The sequence below is a fragment of the Homo sapiens genome, chromosome 12, assembly GCF_000001405.40.
Source record: "Homo sapiens chromosome 12, GRCh38.p14 Primary Assembly".
In the NCBI taxonomy this organism is placed as follows: Eukaryota; Metazoa; Chordata; class Mammalia; order Primates; family Hominidae; genus Homo; species Homo sapiens.
Window position 1 is genome coordinate 101,678,251 of NC_000012.12, and position 19,204 is coordinate 101,697,454.

General features: G+C 39.3%; 1 protein-coding gene across 31 annotated transcripts in view, besides 1 other annotated feature; it reads left to right on the plus strand.

The window, feature by feature from the left end:
• MYBPC1 (myosin binding protein C1) overlaps nt 1-17,591 on the plus strand; it is a 100,871-nt gene extending 83,280 nt beyond the window's left edge. For 9 of the 31 annotated variants that reach the window (XM_006719405.5, XM_017019315.3, XM_006719407.4 and 6 more), the window contains 2 exons: nt 2,093-2,279; nt 7,332-7,778. In XM_006719405.5, the coding sequence (XP_006719468.1) occupies nt 2,093-2,279; nt 7,332-7,432 (288 nt within the window). In that variant the 3' untranslated portion in view covers nt 7,433-7,778. Of the gene's footprint in view, nt 1-2,092; nt 2,280-4,353; nt 4,413-6,131; nt 6,175-7,331; nt 7,779-17,401 lie in introns of those variants that run through there. The other 22 variants (NM_206819.4, NM_206820.4, NM_206821.4 and 19 more) reach the window with 7 other exon arrangements.
• Nucleotides 18,864-19,113: an enhancer, noted in NCBI's record as "active region_6864". NCBI's record gives its function as "activates an Ori minimal core promoter by ATAC-STARR-seq in GM12878 lymphoblastoid cells {active_cell/tissue: GM12878}" and the evidence as "EXISTENCE:reporter gene assay evidence [ECO:0000049][PMID:35858748]".

A 19,204-nucleotide genomic window follows, 5' to 3' on the forward strand; every position in this document is an offset into this window, starting at 1 on the left:
TCTATCACATCAGTTAAAGTCCCTGTCTTGTATTTGTTGTGTTATAATGTAAGTAACAATGTAAACAAATCCAGCTGCTACTTGTGTCTTCCCAGGATGGGGGATTAGAAGGTGGTAGTGGTGGTAGATTATTAGGCACACTATTCAGATGTAGTAGTAAAAAATGCTTACATTTCTTTGCTAAGGGATTCCTTCTAAAGAAAAAGCAAACCACCTATTTAAAAAAGAACATCTCCTGTGTAAGGAGATGGAAGTATAATAATATTGTTTCACTTGGAAAATTAGGTGGTAATGTCAAGAATTCTGTGATAGGTTAAAGTAAACAACAATCACACTACACTGTCTGCGATAGGTTAAAGTAAACAACAATTACACTACACTGTAAGACAGAATATGAATGTGCTTTGATAAGGGTACAGTGTGCTAAGAAGGGAGCTATCATATCCAGTTGAAGAGATTAGAAAGGTTTCAAGGTTTCATGTTTGCATTTGAAAAGAACAACGAATTAATGAATATCGCCCATAGAGATGTACATATCCCTGGGTGCAAGACAGAAAGTACCCTAGAATTGGGAAAATTTATGAACTTCTTTTTTTCCTGTATATACCTTGATCAGAAATAGGGAAGTCGTCCGGGCGCAGTGGCTCATGCCTGTAATCCGAACACTTTGGAGGCTGAGGCAGGCGGATCACTTGGTCAGGAGTTCGAGACCAGCCTGGGCAACATGGTCTCTACTAAAAATAGAAAAATTAGCTGGGCATGGTGGCACATGCCTGTGATCCCAGCTACTTGGGAGGCTGAGGCAGGAGAATTGCATGAACCTGGGAGGTGGAGGTTGCAGTGAGCTGAGATAGCACCACTGCACTCTAGTCTGGGTAACAGAAGAAGACTCCGTCTCAAAAAAAAAAAAAAAAGGAAAATCAAAGGAAGAAGTCAGACTAAGGATGAGAGAAAGGTGCTGAACTAATGTTTACTTGGAAATGATGTTGGTACATCCAAATGGGAATGATGAGGAAGCAGATGGAGAGGTTCACCCGGAGCCTAGGAGAAAGGCCAGGGCTGTTGCTCTTGGTTTGGGAGTCCCATACATAAAGATGCTACATTCTACCCCTTGCCAAAGCTTTAGAAAGGTGTGAGGCTCAGTGATCGCTCCCATTTGACGGGTGGAAGGAAGAAGAAGACTGTGTGAAGGAGACAGAAAAGGTGCCATCTCTAGGTTCTGAGCAAGACAAAATAATAGAAGAGGTGGAAGAGAGAATGCAGAGGGTGCATATTTACAAAAGAAAGGAGAAGACAATATGAGAGTGAGGAGTCACTGATATCAAATGCAGTTCAGAAGTCAAGGAGAATGAAGTCATCTTCCTGGGCAATTGGGTCATTACTGATCTTGCATTATCTGATTGGAGTAGATCCATTGCCATGGGATGATGAATATAGACATCAGAGGACAGATTAAGTAATGAGGAGGCAGATGCAGTTCATAAAGAATTAAAAAACAGTATCAGGAAAAGGAAGTGAAGAAAATCAAATGATCGTGACACTTTATGGGGTTTCTCTGAAAAAAATGCTCAGCAAATATGCACTCTCTACAATGAGTTAACAACATGGACCTATGGATGACATTGTTTTTTAATTTGAAAGTATTTAATTGGCAAATAAAGGTCATATACATTCAAGCTGAACAATATGATGATTTGATATATGTACACATTGTGTAATGATTATCACAATCAAATTAATACATTCATCAGTACCGATGCTGTACATTCGATGCCCAGAACTTGTTCATCCTGTAACTGAAAGTTTGCACCCATGTAGATCAAATTGAAATGCAACTGAATCCATTTGAGAAGATTGCCCTAGAGTTACCTCTGAACACATCTGGCTTTCTTTGTTAGAACTGTTAGTTTGCTTATTTGCCAAGCACTAAGTAGAGTTTAATGTGAGAAATAGTGTCAAGTAAAAGTCTATCCTTCTCAGATGCACTTTCTTTTTAAGCCATGCTTTAAAATTCTGTCACTGGCTTTGATGGTCTATTAATATGCCAATTACAGATATGTTTTGACCTAAGTTTCTTCAATTTGAACTTCAGCCTAAAATAACCTGGATGAAAAACAAAGTTGCTATTGTGGATGATCCAAGATACAGGATGTTCAGCAACCAGGGAGTCTGTACCCTGGAAATTCGCAAGCCCAGCCCCTATGATGGAGGCACTTACTGCTGCAAAGCAGTCAATGACCTTGGGACAGTGGAGATTGAATGCAAACTGGAGGTGAAAGGTATGACATCCAATATCTCACGTATAGACTAAAGTTAAAGAAAATCATTGAATTATTGTTCTTAATGCTTATTGTTCTTAATCCAAATTGCTTGCCAAAATGCTGCAGCGAGGGTGGGAGAGGGTGGTGAGGGCAAGGGAAGCAGGGAGGGAATTAAGGGAGAGAAGACATTTTTACATCCTGCATTCACTTCACTTTATTTGTGGAAGGCTACTTGTTATTTAAGTCAACTTATTTTTATCTTATGTGATTTGTGCTAAGGGACTGTTAATTTCAGTGGAATGTTAGTGTGTGTACAGCATGGTAAGAATGAAAGGGGCTATCACTTTGGTGACATAACCCATCTATAAATAGAAGCCTAGTGTAAAAATCCATCTATTGAAATGACAGTTGAGTAATCTGCACTATTTTTAATTAGTTTACTATTTTGTAAAGTTTGTTATTTTCTGATATTTATAGAAATAGTTTTGCTAATTAAGTGTTTGATATTACACATATAGAATATAGCATATACATATTATAACAGGCTGCTTTTCAAATCTCTAACTGGAGAACTTCCATTTATAGGTATACATTTCATTTATACTAGTTTTCAAAGTGTAGCAACTAATGTAAACCAAGAAAACACATAAGGATTTATGCGGTTGAAAAGCATAACCTGCCATCTTAATCAATTTTCAAATTAATCAACTACCATTTTTATGCTGATATTTTTCTTTACAAGCAGAACCTACTTTGGGACACCATGAAAACCCCTTCAAAGAGTCACCATTATGAGATAATAGGTGACATGATCCTAATGTGTTTTCTCTCATTCTTAACTGTATTATATTGCCATTCTGTAATAACCAAAATCTTTCTTTTTCCAACCTCTCTATAATGAAGAAATTATAATCAAAAACTAGTAAATATCTATTTTAGAAAATCATAGTAAATGCTTGGGTATTTATGTTTTTTAAAAAGAGTCTTTTAGTCCTAAATCTAGTATAAATATGAGAGGGAAACTTCTTGAACAAAATAACTTTCATATATATATATATATATATATATATATATATATATATTTTTTTTTTTTTTTTTTTTTTTTTTTTTTTTTTGAGACAAGGTCTTGCTCTGTCACCCAGGCTGGAGTGGAAGGGTGCGATCTCAGCTCACTGCGACCTCTGCCTCCTGGGTTCAAGCAATTCTCGTGCCTCAGCCTCTTGAGTAGCTGGGATTACAGGCATGCAGCACCACACCCAGCTTATTTTTGTATCTTCAGTAAAGACGGGTTTTTGCCGTGTTGGCCAGGCTGGTCTCAAACTCCTGGCCTCAAGCAATCCATCTGCCTTGGCCTCTCAAAGTGCTGGGATTATAGGCGTGAGCCACTGCACCCAGCTGCTTTCCTCTTACAACTTTTTAAAGCTGTATTCTTTCTTTCACAATTCATAATTGAGTGAAAGGAAAAAGATTTGATTTTTTTTTCCTCACAAATATAAGGCATATAATATTCTTAGAAAATTTCAAGCCTTACTATTGAGATAACCCTTACAAATTTAAACATTTTTAGCTGCTTTATTGGCTTTAAATGATTAAGTTCATAATTGCAAGTCATCTGGTTTCTAAACTGCTAGCCTTATTAGTTCCAAAGTATTGTTGATGCTTTTGTTTCAATATCCCCCCAAAAAACAAAAACTAAAAAAAAAAGTACCACTTATTTATGCTTTGAAACTAGCTGAATGTTGTTAATGATATAAAATGATGCTTTAACAAATGGAACAATATTTGGGGCCCTCCTTAAAAGCGAATAGTATTATACATATACATGATATATTCTTTTTAGTGAAAATGTAGTAAATGGTACAGTAATTAAATTTGATAAAAAGAATAATGTATTCTAGTACATAAGTTCGTAATAAAGTATCAATTGTGATATATTGATAAAAGCTTTTGGTCCTAAAAGTAAAGCTGAAATTGTTTATCATCAGACTGTTACTCTGATAATAGGTAACTTGAATCAAGTTGAGTTGTGAAAAAAGGTAAGAATGTCAACTGAGAATAAATAAATACTGGTACAAATATTCTGATTCTGCAGTGATATATCAAGGAGTAAATACCCCTGGACAACCAGTCTTCCTGGAGGGGCAGCAACAGGTTTAAAAAGTTTATATCCCACTGGATATTCTACTTTCCGTTCCATTCCTCTTACATGAAAATGCACCTTGCATGTAAAGCTTGACTTTCTCATTTGCTTTTAATTGTACCCCTTAGCAGCTCATGGCATACAGTGCTTATGCCATGAACAAGGAAGGCCAAATTATTCAAGGATATTAAGTAATGTAGAAACTAAGTTTTGTCAGAAAGCTACATACCATACCACAAGTCTCCATGAATAAAGCCAGAAAGCTACATTTGAAGATGATCTCGTTTTATATAATAAGACTATCAAAACTTGGGTATCAATATTTCTTTAATATTTTCATTTTTTAAATGTAGAGAGACTTTTTTAAAGATAGTTGACAGCATAGTTTCCTTACATTCATGATGCAATTCAGAGAACTGAACATTTCAAACATTTTTTTTGATGTTCTGAGCATTTTTTATGGAAAGAGGATACAAAAATAGATCCAATATTTAGAGGCTGGGCGTGATGGTTCTCGCCTATAATCCCAGCACTTTGGGAGGCTGAGGTAGGTGGATCGCTTGATCCCAGGAGTCCAAGATCAGATTGGGCAACATGGCAAACTCCCATCTCTACAAAAAGTACAAAACTTAGCCAGGTGTGGTGGCACATGCCTATAGTCCTAGCTACTTGGAGAGCTGAGGCAGGAGGATCACTTGAATCTGGAAGGTCGAGGAGGCTTCAGTGAGCCAAGATCTCCAGCTTAGGTGACAAAGTGAGACTTTGTCTCAAAAAAATAAAAAATAAAAAAAATAAATTGGGAAACTTACATATTTAAAATATTCCCATTACAAATTCACAAGTAGAATATCTGTAACCCATCTATCTGTTGAAGATTTTGGACATTTTCATGGGGACTCAAATTATTTCACGTTTATGAACTTAAAAGGAAAGAAAATTCCAGGCTCTATTACAAAATGTATCAAGCAATAAATGAGTACTATCATATATATGTGATTCACCCCCATTTGGAATTGCAAATTAAGAGTTTTTTGCAGCTGGGTATGCAACCTGATAAAAACCCTGATAATGTAGATCTATGCCTGAGTTTACAATATTTGTTTTGTGAGTTTCCAGAGATAATAACAGCTTTCAAAAGAGGAAAAAAGTAAGGTTCTTTTTTGAAAGCTTTGTAGATTGTATATAGAATAGCTTTGTAACATAAGGTTTTGTGTCTATTTAGATCAGTCATATATATTCCATGCAGAATACAATATTATAGAATACACTAGTCTAATATTTGTACTTGATAATTTTGCCTTTTAGAATTTCAACATATATATATGTACACTAACACTTTGTCTATTGTCTATGTTTTTCTTTTGTTGAAAAACACGATATATATATGTTGTAGGGTTTTGGTTTTTGTATTTGTTTTAAGCTAATGGTTTGGAAGCTCTTACCATAGATATTCACTATACAATCAGAATGACTTTGCCACCTATTCAGGCAAAGTAGTTGTGCATATTAATAAATGTTTTACATATTAATGATCCTTTTGACGTGACTGGATCCCCACCCTTCATTTCATGTGCTTCTATTTTCCTACATCTTTTACATGACTAAGGATTAATGAAATCACCTCTTCATAATCATGACCATAATTTCATCCAACAAGTACTCAAGTTTGGTGTTAGCACTTTATTAATGCTTACGACTTCTCTCTCTCTCCCTCTTTCTCTTTTCCTTAGTCATTGCACAATAAGGATTTTTGAATGTATAATATCATCTAAGGTAAGCTTTCATATGGTTTTGGCATATGAAGCTTATGACTGTCATAAGCCATACCAAGCCTGTGGAGTATGGCATGATTTTCATTACATAATCCAATGAAAATAGACTTATTTTAAATCCCTAACTTTGTAGTTTTAATTTGTATTTCACTATCTTGAAATTAACAGCTAGTACTTATCCATCACAGCAGTCTCCTACTGACATGAAGCAAGTTGTTGAATGCAGTAGAGCATGAATGAAAGCATTTAATGTAGACAAAAATGGGTGATACCCAAGCATTCTGAATTATTTGCATCAAGGAATGGACATGTACATAAGTGGCATCATTTCTACCAATATGTGACTTGAGTTGTTTTTTTAAAAAAAGGAGAATGACTTTCTCAAATTTGCATTAAAGAAGTTTTTAAGAATGTTCAAATGGCATGCTGCTTTGTCTGGACGTGAATTTATTAGCAAGTAGTAAAGCACTTCACTAAAGGACCATGAATTTTTGTGGTTTCATGGATTCTCTCTTGAAGGGTACTTTTATTTTTTTAATATAATTCAGAAACTCAGAAGGTAGGTATGAAATATTGGTAGGTGTTTCTCGCACCTTCAGAAAGTATTGGACCGGTCTTATTATTATAATTTTAACAAAATATTTCCAATTTTTGTGCTTTTGACATGCATAAATGACCAAAGTTAAAGGGAGTAGTTTTTATCTTTTCTAATGTGCTTGAATCGAAACTCTCTGTGCCTAATTAAAAAGAACATTAACAAACTGGAAGCAGATCTTCCCACTGATCCATAATGTGGTATGCATTTATTCTGCTGTTCAGTCAGAACATTTAAATCATCTATGAGGAATCACAAAACCTCTCAAAGAGCAATAAATACTTTCCAACCACTTGGGAATTTAAATGAAGATTGAACAATAGTAGGGGAAAAACTGCTGTGGTTCTACTGGGAACTTGCTTTTCCTTCTAGATGCCAAGTGCTTTAAATTCTAAATGTACTAAATCCAGGAGAAGATTTTCCAAGTAGAGACTGAATGAATCTTTGTAACTAATGGGAACATGATTAGTCACATTTCCAGGCAGCTAGTCAAGAAGTATTGTTTCAGCGATTTTTCAGGTAGATGGTTTTGATTTGTCTGTTTTCCTTTTGGTCCTCTCTAGGTGGGCTCTCCTTCTGCAGACTCCTCTTGCAAGGCGTACCTCCAAACATAATTGATTCGTATCTGCGAGACTTACACTCAAGCAATCCTGAGGAATACTGAGGGAGGGCCTGGCTACTGTCTCTCTGCACTCTGCTGCTTTGAAATCTGGTTGAAATGAGAAAAAGCATTTTCTGTTTTCCCACCAGGCCCCCAAGTGTGGTCTTTTTCTTTCCTCCTAATGTTGAAGAGAAAAAAAAAAAAAAAAGTTTGCCCAGATTGCTTAATTAAAAATTGCAAACAAAATCTCATTTGAAGTCAGCACTTTGGTCATTATTATCTCTGCTCACTGTATTATACTTTACAAAAATGCAAGTCATAGAATAAGCAAAAGCAGTTATTTTTGTTTACATAGTAGGCTATAAATGCTTTTTTTTTCCTCTCAGAGTAAAAAACATAACACAATGCACCACGACTGGATCTTGAAAACCCATCTTTCTCTTGATCTAGTAGATTTTTCTAACCAAAGCGGAGTTGTTGATGTCATACAGGCCTGCTTCACACCAGGATCTGTGCCTTTTTCTTCTTATTTGAATGCAATAAAACATTTTTAAAAGTCTAACTTTCAAACAAATTTTCTCAGTAGAAGGGATGGTACAACAAATCTGAAGTGTTTGTGATGAAATGATACAATATGCATTCATGCATTTAGGGTTGTATGCCGAGACACAAAACTGAGGCTAAAGGCTGGGAGCCAGCATGCCCCTGAACCCAGGTCTGCCCTCCCTGTGTCTCTAGCAAGGCATCTTGGCCAAATCTGCCAGAGCTTCTGCCAAAACAGCTAGTCATAGTGACAGAGGGCTGTTACAGACAACAGACCTATTACAGAGTTAGGGTTTGCTGATGGTATCCATTCAATTTGATGGAAACCTTTATTAAAAAATCTAGCAGCTGAGAAACATTTATACTAACCCATAATATTTTCAGCAACTTCCTTTACTCTTCCTGATATAAAGTTTCAGTTAAGGGAGTAGAATCGAACTGTAAGGTACCACAGCATTACTGTTTATTCCCTCGCCTCCCCTCTGTTTTTCTTTTTGGTCTTTTGTTGCAGGAGCTAAATATATTGTGACTTGTTGGTGGGCCCATGGCTTCTTTGGATGACATTTTAAACATATCTGCTCTTTTTTCTTTCCAGATTTTAGCTGGGAAGTTCTATGGTGGTCATGGATCTGGGTTGATGTTGGGCTCGTAAAGGGAAGGGTGAATGATTCAGGTCGTTGCAGTACATTTGAGAACAAAAGAAAGTCTAGTTTATGTCCAAACTATGTTGGCTCTATATATCTCTGTTGAAATTGGTTGGTGATGTTGCCTTACTGGTTGTTAAGAACATTGGCTATCACCCCTGCTCCTATGCTCCCAAAAACTCCAGAATAATATTGTGTGCAATCCCTGTGTAAACACCAATTTTATTTTATTTTATTTTTATTGCTATAACCCATTGTTTTTATATATATATATATTTTTATTATACTCTAAGTTCTAGGGTACATGTGCGCAACGTGCAGGTTTGTTGCATACGTATACATGTGCCATGTTGGTGTGCTGCACCCATTAACTCATCATTTACATTAGGTATATCGCCTAATGCTATCCCTCCCCGCTCCCCCCACCCCACAACAGGCCCTGGTGTGTGATGTTCCCCTTCCTGTGTCCAAGTGTTCTCATTGTTCAGCTCCCACCTATGAGTGAGAACATGCGGTGTTTGTTTTTTTGTCCTTGCAATAGTTTGCTGAGAATGATGGTTTCCAGCTTCATCCATGTCCCTACAAATGACATGAACTCATCATTTTTTATGGCTGCATAGTATTCCATGGTGTATATGTGCCACATTTTCTTAATCCAGTCTATCATTGTTGGGCGTTCCAAGTCTTTGCTATTGTGAGTAGTGCCGCAATAAACATACGTGGTAAACTCCAATTTTAATCAAGAAAGCTACGTGCACAGTATTGGTTAAGGTATTTTAACATAAAGGAAGTCTGGCTCATCTATAAAGACATGAAAACCTTATGTCTATGTACAAACCAAAGAAATGACAATGTGGCAAACCCAGTCAACGTGGTCCCTGCAGCCCAGCTGCTGGGTCTTAGCCATAGTGCAGCAGCCGAGCTGGCTGCTTAACTCAAATACTCTGAGCACTTTGGCCAAGACATTGGCCAAGCTAGTTAGGCTGCTTATACGTGTATGGTTTTACATAGCCTAAAAGAGACTGTAAAACCTCCCTGCTGAATTTTGGTTCCCCACTTATGACTTAGGCTCTTTAATTATATTTTGTACTAGATAATGTTACTTTTCTACATATAATCTTTCCTTATATTAAGGGTACACATACACTGCAAAGTTCTAATAAGGAAGAAAAAGTCTATTGTGAAACTGCAAAGAGCAAAAAATATCAGAAGCTATCATTACTATTGGTTTTTCTATAATTTTGTTTAAATTTCACTCTATTAAAAAATTACGTATCACAGGAATTTACCAAAAATTCTTTTGGGGAACTAAACATTCATTAAAAATTTTAGGCTGGGCACGGTGGCTCATGCCTGTAATCCCAGCACTTTTAGAGGCCGAGGCGGGCAGATCACTTGAGGCCGGGAGTTCGAGAGCAGCTATGCAGCATGGTGAAGCCTTGTCTCTACTAAAAATATAAAAATTAGTTGGGCGTGGTGGCACACAACTGTAGTCTCAGCTACTTGGGAAGCTGAGGCACAAGAATAGCTTGAACCCGGGAGGTGGAGGTTGCAGTGAGCAAAGATTGCACCACTGTACTCCAGCCTGGGCAACAAAGTGAGACCCTGTCTCAAAAAAAAATTTTTTTTAAGGTTCACGTTTCTTTATTTACCTTAAAAGAAGGCTTAATGAATGTTCTCATCTAAATTAATATCAAAGTAGAAAAAAATTAATTCTAAGAGACATTGGAACAAGGTAATATGCCCTTAACCATTCATTTTTAGAATAATTCTGAAGCACTATTCAGCTCAACAAATGAGTTATTGAATGTCTGATATCTGCATGGCACTGTAATGGATTTAGCTTGCAACTTGATAAATAAAGGTACTTGAGGCTGGGTGTGGTGGCTGACGTCTGTAATCCCGGCACTTTGGGAGACCAAGGCAGGCAGATCACTTGAGTGCAGGAGTTCAAGGCTAGCCTGGGCAAGATAACAAAACCCCATCTCTACAAAAAATTATCCAGGTGTGGTAGCACGCACCTGTAGTCCCAGCTACTCAGAAGGCTGATATATGAGAATAGCTTAAACCCAGGAGGTGGAGATTGCAATGAGCTGAGATCGCACCACTGCACTCCCAGCCTGGACAACAGAGCCAGACCGTATCTCAAAAAAAAAAAAAAAGAAAAAGAAAAAAAAAGAGGTACTTCGTGCCTTCAAGTAATTTATAATGTATAAGACTAGTATACAGAGGGAACATATAAACAAGGCAGGATGCAGGTATAAGAGAGCACTATAACAATGCAGAAGCTGGATAGTGTGGTTTATGTATTCGTTATTGTCAATGTGTGTATCATGCTAGGATGGAGAACAGGACTTACCATATTACTTCACTTTTCTAAATCAGATTAAATGTAACTCTGAGCTCTCCACTAGCTAGGGAGATTGAGAAATTCTCTGTTCTGTTTGGGGATTCAGATTCCAGAGTCAACAGGAATCTTTCTTGGTGCCCAGAAAATGGAGAGAAGGAAAGGCCTCTGGTCTTCAATCTACACTGGTGACTGCAGAGATGCCTGTCATTGTATTACACTTTATAAAAAAGTCACCCATAGAACAAGCAAAAGCAGTTCTTTTAGTTTAATGGTCAAACCCAGTATGGTTCACTCAAGGACAGGTGACTCTGAAACATCCCTGACAAGCGTGGACCTGGGGTCTTTCAGTCTTCAAGGCTGTAACTTGACTGTTATATTAGGGTTCTTCAGAGGAACAGCGAGTAGGAGAGGAAGCAAAGAAGAGAGACGGAAGGAAGGAAAGGGGAGGGAATGGAAAGGGAAAAGAGGAAAGAAAAAGAACAAAAAATCTAGAAAGAGATTAATTATAAGGTATTCATCATGGAATTATGGAAGCTGAGACATCCCATGATTTGCTGCCCACAAAACCTAGGAAGGCTGGAGGTGTAGTTGAAGGCCTGAGAGCCAGAGAGCTCAGAGTGGTTCCTCCACCCAAGCCTCCTAAGACTGTGTGCAAGTCCCTCCTTACTCAGCTGACCACCTGGGACTCAGCTTACTCAGCTGACCACCTGGGAGCTTCTGAGAAATGAAAACTCTCTGCCGGGCGCGGTGGCTCACGCCTGTAATCCCAGCACTTTGGGAGGCCGAGGCAGGTGGATCACCTGAGGTCAGAAGTTGGAGACCAGCCTGGCCAACATGGCGAAAACCCGTCTCTACTAAAATTACAAAAATTAGCCAGGCGTGGTGGCGCGTGCCTGTAATCCCAGCTACTCGGGAGGCTGAGGCAGAAGAATCACTTGAACCCGGGAGGCGGAGTTTGCAGTGAGCCAAGATCGTGCCATTGCACTCCAGCTTGAGCAGCAAGAGTGAGACTCCATCTAAAAAAAAAAAGAAATGAAAACTTTCTAGCCCTGCCCCAGATCCTTAAGTTCGGAATCTGCATTTTAACAGGATCCCCAGTGATTTGTGTGCTCATTCATGTTGGAGAGGCCATGCTCCAGACTCTCTCTGTCTTGTTCCTTGCTTAGCTATTATTTGGAGGCATTCTCTCTTAGCTGTCCCAGAGGAAAAACATCCTGATAAATGTATCCCCTCCCAGATATTGCTGATAATGACCTAGCCTAATGTCTAAATATAACTTAACCTGTTACTCCTAAAAGCCCTAACTCAAAGACTAACTCAATGTGGGATGTCTGGGTTCCTGAAAAAGGAATTTTTGAGAAAGGATGTTCCCTCTAATGCTTCTCAAACAATACCATAGAAAGCATTTTAGAGCAGTAGAAGATAAACTCAGAAAAAGATTATAAATAAAAAATGATTAAAGGGTATAAACAAGACCCAATGCTAAGAACCGTGTCTCTGAAGGAAATCAGTTCTCTTAACCCTAAATTGCTTTTGCAATTTCAGATAAAGGGCACAATTATAACATCTTAGGGACTGTATTGCGAAATTTTGTTTTCTGATCTTGTCCAGGAAATTAAGCATTTTTAGAGAGGAGAGCAAAGGTTTTAGTCAATCTATTACTGAACACTGACTACCTACCCATGTATTTTGTAAAGTACCATAGTTCCATAAAATTTAGACTTTAGAGTCTCAAAGTACGAAACTATAAAAGTATAAAACCCAAGCAAGTAAAGCAAGTATTATACCATAAAACTATGCTTATCACAAATACCCCAGCCTGTGTAGCTAAAGCTCAGAATTCTCACACAGATAGCTTGACACCCTGATGATAAAACTCTACTGCAATGCAAGCCTAGCCAGGTGATTTATTTACTTATTTATTTATTTATTTTAGACAGGGTCTCACTCTGTTGCCCATGCTGGAGTGCAGTGGCATGATCTGGGCTCACTGTATCTTCCGCCTCCTGGGTTCAAGCAATTCTCCTGCCTCAGCCTCCTGAGTAGCTGGGATTGCAGGTGCATGCCACCATGCATGGCTAATTTTTGTATTTTTAGTAGCGACTGGGCTTCACCGTTTTGGCCAGGCTAGTCTCAAACTCCTGGCCTCAAGTGATCTGCCTGCCTCAGCCTCCGAAAGTGCTGGGATTACAGGTGTGAGCCACTGCACCCGGCCTCTAGCCAGGTGATTTCTTATTGCAACCCACTCTTTCTTCCAAACCAATGAAAGTCCATGGGCTTCCAACTGGTTATTTCACACACAACAGTGCCTAATCTGCCTATATGACATGATTTAATATTTTGTGGAAGGTTGGCCTAGAGATTGAGGATGTTAAGGAAGATTTGAAATATGAGTGAAAGTTACACAAAAGAACTAGTAGTAAAACTGAGAGCCTAAATCAAGATGTTCTTTCTCCTTTGGGAAAGGAATACAATTTAGTTAAACCATCAGATAAACATTTATGCATCCCTATTGTGCTATGGAAATGTAAGATGTTACCATAGGAGGAGGCTGTGTGAAGGGCATACAAGGGATTCTTTGTACTATTTTTGCAACTTCCTGTGTGTCTGTAATCATTTTAAAATACATATTTTTTAAATGATGGATGTCTACTGGATGCCAGGCATTGAGGAGCACACTCAGTGCAGGCTTGGTCTGACACTCTATGACCTGGGCAAGGAGGCTGATCAATACACAAATAACTGAACAAAGATAGTCTGCATTACAAGGTACAAAGTGCTCTGGTTGTGTGGGAGTAAGAGGGATCAAACTGGAAGAATCTGAGAGGTCATTTTAGAGAAGGCAGAATTTAAGTGTGGAATCTGAGTGATGGGCAGTGTGCTAGGAATAATAAGGGATCGAGGGTACTCCCCAACAGGGAACAAATGAGAGTGGGTTTGGGGACAGCCAATGGGCCCACACAGCTGGAGCATGAGACTTAGGGAGGAGAATTGGGGAAGAGATATTAGGGAGGTAAGACTAGGAAGGTAGACCGGGCCCTCAAATGCCAAGTGAGGGAAGTTGGACTTTATCAAAGGCTTCTGAACAAGGGAATATTTTATTAGTTTTAGTAAATTTAGTACAATAATTTTTTTCATAATATTTAGAATGGACTGGAATGGCACAAAACCAACATGATATATAGAAACTGGACTGTTCCATATTGACAAAAGTACCCACTAAAGTCCTATATTTAATACATGTAAGTTATTAGGTGGCATTTTGCAGTCGTTGGGAACATAAGCTCTGAAATCAGACTACACGGGCTTGAATCCTGGCTTTACCACTATACTAGCTGTGCAGCCATGGGTAAGTTTTTGAACCTCACTGTGCTTCAATTTCCTTATCCATAAAATGGGGATAACAATGGTCTACTTCATAGAGTGTTTGTGAGGAGTAAGTGAAATAACTCCTGATGTTTAGAACAGTGCTTGGCATAGGATAGAAACTCATAAATGTGAGCTACTATGTTAAGATAAGGGGGAAACATTGTATATATCAATCACTATGTAACAAACCATGAAAATGGAGGGGAGCCATGATTCAAGAAATAAAATAATAGGAAATCTCTAATATACTTTTTTGACATTAGAGTATGTTAGAGTGGGGTAAGGTAGAAGAAATAAACATGGCTTTAGTATGTCTTGAATTAATTTGAAATTTCCAAAAATTCAGCAAAGAAGCACATGGGAAAATCAATTTAGAGCATGATGAGTAGTTTAAAAATGGTTTCTATATTTATTACCTTCACTTTTTTTTTTTTTTTTTGAGACGGAGTCTTGCTCTGTCGCCCAGGCTAGAGTGCAGTGGCGCGATCTCAGCTCACTGCCACCTCCGCCTCCCAGGTTCACTCCATTCTCCTGCCTCAGCCTCCCGAGTAGCTGGGACTACAGGTGCCCACCACCACGCGCGGCTAATTTTTTGTATTTTTAGTAGAGACAGGGCTTCACCGTGTTAGCCAGGATGGTCTCGATCTCCTGACCTCGTGATCCACCCGCCTTGGCCTCCCAAGGTGCTGGGATTACAGGCGTGAGCCACCGCGCCCAGCCTACTTTCACTATTTTTAAATTATGACATTTCATATTTGCAAAATATACAAATATGCCATCTATATCTATGTAGATATATAGTTACATAGATTGCATAAATAATAGTAAAATGAACATGTTACTACTACTCAGTTAAAAAACTGTGATTGAGACAGCTTGATGGCCCCCCACAATACCCACTCTCTCACTTTTCAATAATAATAGAAATGTTTTGGCCGATTGTGGTGGCTCACACCTGTAGTCCCAGCATTTTAGGAGGTCAAAGCGGGAGGATCATTTGGGGTCAGGCATTTGAGACCAGCCTGGCCAACATGGCGAAACCCCATCTCTACTAAAAATACAAAAATTAGCTGGGTGTGGTGGCACATGCCTATAGTCTCAGCTACTCAGGATGCTGAGGCAGGTGAATCACTTGAACCTGGGAAGAGGTTGCAGTGAGTTCAGATTGCGCCACTGCACTCCAGCCTGGGTGACAGAGCAAGAATCTGTCTCTAAATAAATAAATAAATAAATAAACAAGTAAAAGAAATTTTAGCTGGGCAGGTGGCTGTCTGGCTAAAGATTGCATTTGCAGGCTCTTTTACAGTTAGGCATAGCAGCCATGTGGCCAGGCTCTGGCCAATGGGATGAGAGCAGAAGTGATGTGTGCAACCTTTGATCATGGCCTTCAGAAGAAAGGAGCATAGCAGCCCCTTCTCTTTTTCCCCTTCCTATTGGTTGGGAGTCATGGCCAGCCATTTTTGATCACAAGGACAAGGGCAACATCTGAAAGGCGGCAGACTAATAAAATGGAAGAAGTCTGTGTCTCTGACACCATCGAGCTGCCATGTAGCCCTACCATGCCTACCCAGACATCAATGTGGGAAAAATAAACCTCTATTCCATTTAGGTTGCTGTAGTTTGCCCAGCTGTAGTCTAAAAAATTACCAATACCTTTGAAACTTGCCATGTGCCCCTCTATAATTGCATTTACCTTCCTTTCTATCAGGAGTAACCACTATCAGGATTGTACTTATAATTCTTTTCCTTTTCTTCATAGCTTTGCCACATGGGAGCTGCAAAGTGCAGTCACATGTTTTTGAAGTTTATATAAGTAAAATAATACTGTGTGTATTTTGCCTATGGCCTGCTGTTATGGACAGAATGGTATCCTGCCCCTGCTCCACCCCCAATTCATATGTTGAAGCCGTAATCCTCCACAATGTGATGGTATTTGGAGATGGAGCCTTTAGGATATTGGATATCATGAGGGTGGGGCCTTCATGATGGGATTAGTGCCTTTATAAGGACTTTATAAGGAGACACCAGAGAGCTTCCTCTCTTTCTCTCTCTGTCTGTCATGTGAAGACATAGAAGGTGGCCATCTGCAAGCCAGGAAGAGAGTTCTCACTAAGAAACACACTTTGACTTTGGACTTCCCAGCCTCCAGAACTGTGAGAAATAAATTCCTGTTGTTTAAACTATTCAGTCTACGGTATTTTATTATGACAATCCAAGCTGACTAATACATCTGCTTTTTTTTTTCACTCAACATATGCTTGTGCAATTCATTCATGTTCATAAGTGTACCTATAGTTCATTAATTTTTTACTGCCATATTAAACTTGCTATATAATATTAAATTACTTGAAAATACCAGTTTATTTACCCATTCAATATTAGTGGACATATAAGTTATTTACAGCTTTTAGTTATTGTACAGACAAAGGTGTCATGAGTATTCTTATACTTATCTCCTAGGATACATGTGCAAGAATTTCTTTAGGATCTGTTTCTGGATCAGAATTGTGGTGTCAGAGTACACACATCTTCAACTTCACCAGATCATGCCAGGTTGTTTTTCAAGTGGTTGTAACCATCTACTCTTCCTAGCAAACACTTCCACTTGGGTACGCCACATAATTAAGTTCTGGCCAATGAGATACATAATACAACAGTCCCCTTATCTCCAGAGACATATTCCAAGACCCACAACTGTTGCCTGAAACTATGGATAATGCCGAACCCTATATGTACTATGTTGTTTCTAATAACCAAGATGGCTAATAAATGAATAAAGGACAGGTGGCTTATATAGCAGGGATACACTGGACAAAGAGATGATGTAAGTCCTGAGTGGAGAAGAGTGGGACTGGGTGAGATTTCATCACGCTACTCAGAATGGCATGCAATTTAAAACTCACACTTTATTTCTGGAATTTTCTATTTAATATTTTTGGACTGTGGTTGACTGTGGGTATCTAAAACTGCAGAAAAGTAAAACCAGGGACAAAGGGAGACTACTGTATGGAGAAGTGTTGTTTGGGAGTTTTGGAGAGGCACCCCAGTTTGCTCACCAGCCAGTGATATCTACTTTTTGTTTTTCCTGTCCTCTTACTCCTTCCTGCTGCTTGAAACACAAATAAGATGACTGGAGCTTCACCAGCCATTCTGAATCATGAGATGGCCTTATAGATACAAGTCAGAGAGGATATTGGAGCAGAGAGACAGAAAAGCCTGAGTTCCTGATGACCATGGAAACATCGTACCAGTCTTGGAGTGCCAATTCTGTACTTCTTTTATGTGAGAGAGAAATAAATTCCTGTTGTCTAAGCTATTCAGTCTGTGGTATTTTGTTATGACAATCCAAGCTGACTAATACACCTGCTTCTTTTTTTTTTTCAGTCAACATATGCTTGTGCAATTCACTCATGTTCATAAGTGCACCCTGGAACATTACCATGTTCCAGGGCTTCTCCTATAGAAACAGAACATAGCCCAGTTGATTATTTTTTATTCTGATTGATTTTTAGGAGTTCTTTACATAATCTGGGTTCTACTCATTGTGGGTTTTGAGGGAAATACCTTTTCCCAGTTTATGGCTTGTCTTTTCATTCTCTTGATGACGTCTTTTGATGTACATTAAAAATTATCTTTAATACAGTGAAATCGGCTAATCTAGAAAAGGATTTTTTCCTTGGACTGTTCATGGCATCGGTAAATTAAAAAGTAGTTACTGTCAAGTTCACTGCACATAAACCAGCATTGTTAAAAGTGGATCTCCATCATTCCATTTCCTTTCCTGCATTTGTCAGCATCGTTTTTCACACTAAAGATGAGGAGATCCATATTCCTAAGACATATACGCTTGGTCTGTAGAGACCCTCATTGCTCTAAGGCAGTGGTTGCCAGTTTTTTCCTTAAAGGGCCTAGTAGGACATAGTCCAGGCTTTGCCAGCCATACGGTCTGTCACAACTGAATTCTGCTGCCCTTGTAGCATGAAGGCAGCCAAACAATAGGTAAGGAATAAACATGGCTTTATTCGTGGCACTGAACTTTGAATTTCATATAATTTCACAACACAAAATTGTATTCTTTTGATTTTTTCCAATCATTTAAAAATGTCAAAACCATACTTAGCTGGAGGGCTGTAGGAAAACAGGTGGTGGGCTGGGTCTGGCACACAGGCAGCAGTTCGTGGACCCCTGTGCCAAGTGTTTGACGAAGCCCGTGAGGCAAACTGCACTTGCCGATAGAGGTTGCGCCACACAAGTGTCTTGGAAGCAATTTCTGGCTTGTCCTAGGCCTTAGAAAGTGCGTGCAGATCAGAGCCATGAAGTGAAGAGCAAAGCAAGTGACAGGCCTGTCTCAGGTTGTGCAACAGAACGTGTTTATGACAGATGTCCCCTGTCCAAGTGAGTGCACTGTGAGATAAGGGGCCGGTGACCTACCAATGCGTGTGGCAAGCCAGCCTGTTCCCCCTTGCAGGGGGAGGACACTCCTGCCCTTTATTCCAGGGAAGAGTATGTGTAAAAATATTCACCCTTGTTGGTATCAAATGCGCTGAAGAAAATAGGTATCGGGGTTTCAGCCATTCGGTCTCCTTGTTAGTGTTTCTAAGCCCTGATTTTCAGTTTCAAAACCTTGGTCTCTGAATCCGCAGTGATGGGTCTCTAGAGCGAATACATGGCAGGGCCGCCTTCCTCCGTACAGAAAGGGAGAATTGTGCTTGTGTGTTTTACCAAGCAGGACAGATGGGGCCGTCACCCCCGTGACCCGAGCCCTGCAAAACTGTGTTCTCACACGAAAACCCCCAGGCTCTGCGGGCAGCGTGGTCCTGCAGTGGCTAACACTGGGCGACCGGAGTCGTGTTCCGACCCCTAGGAGAGGAACCGGCTCGGTCGTGGTGCAGCCCGCGAGGAGACGACCTCAGGGCGTAATCCGACGCC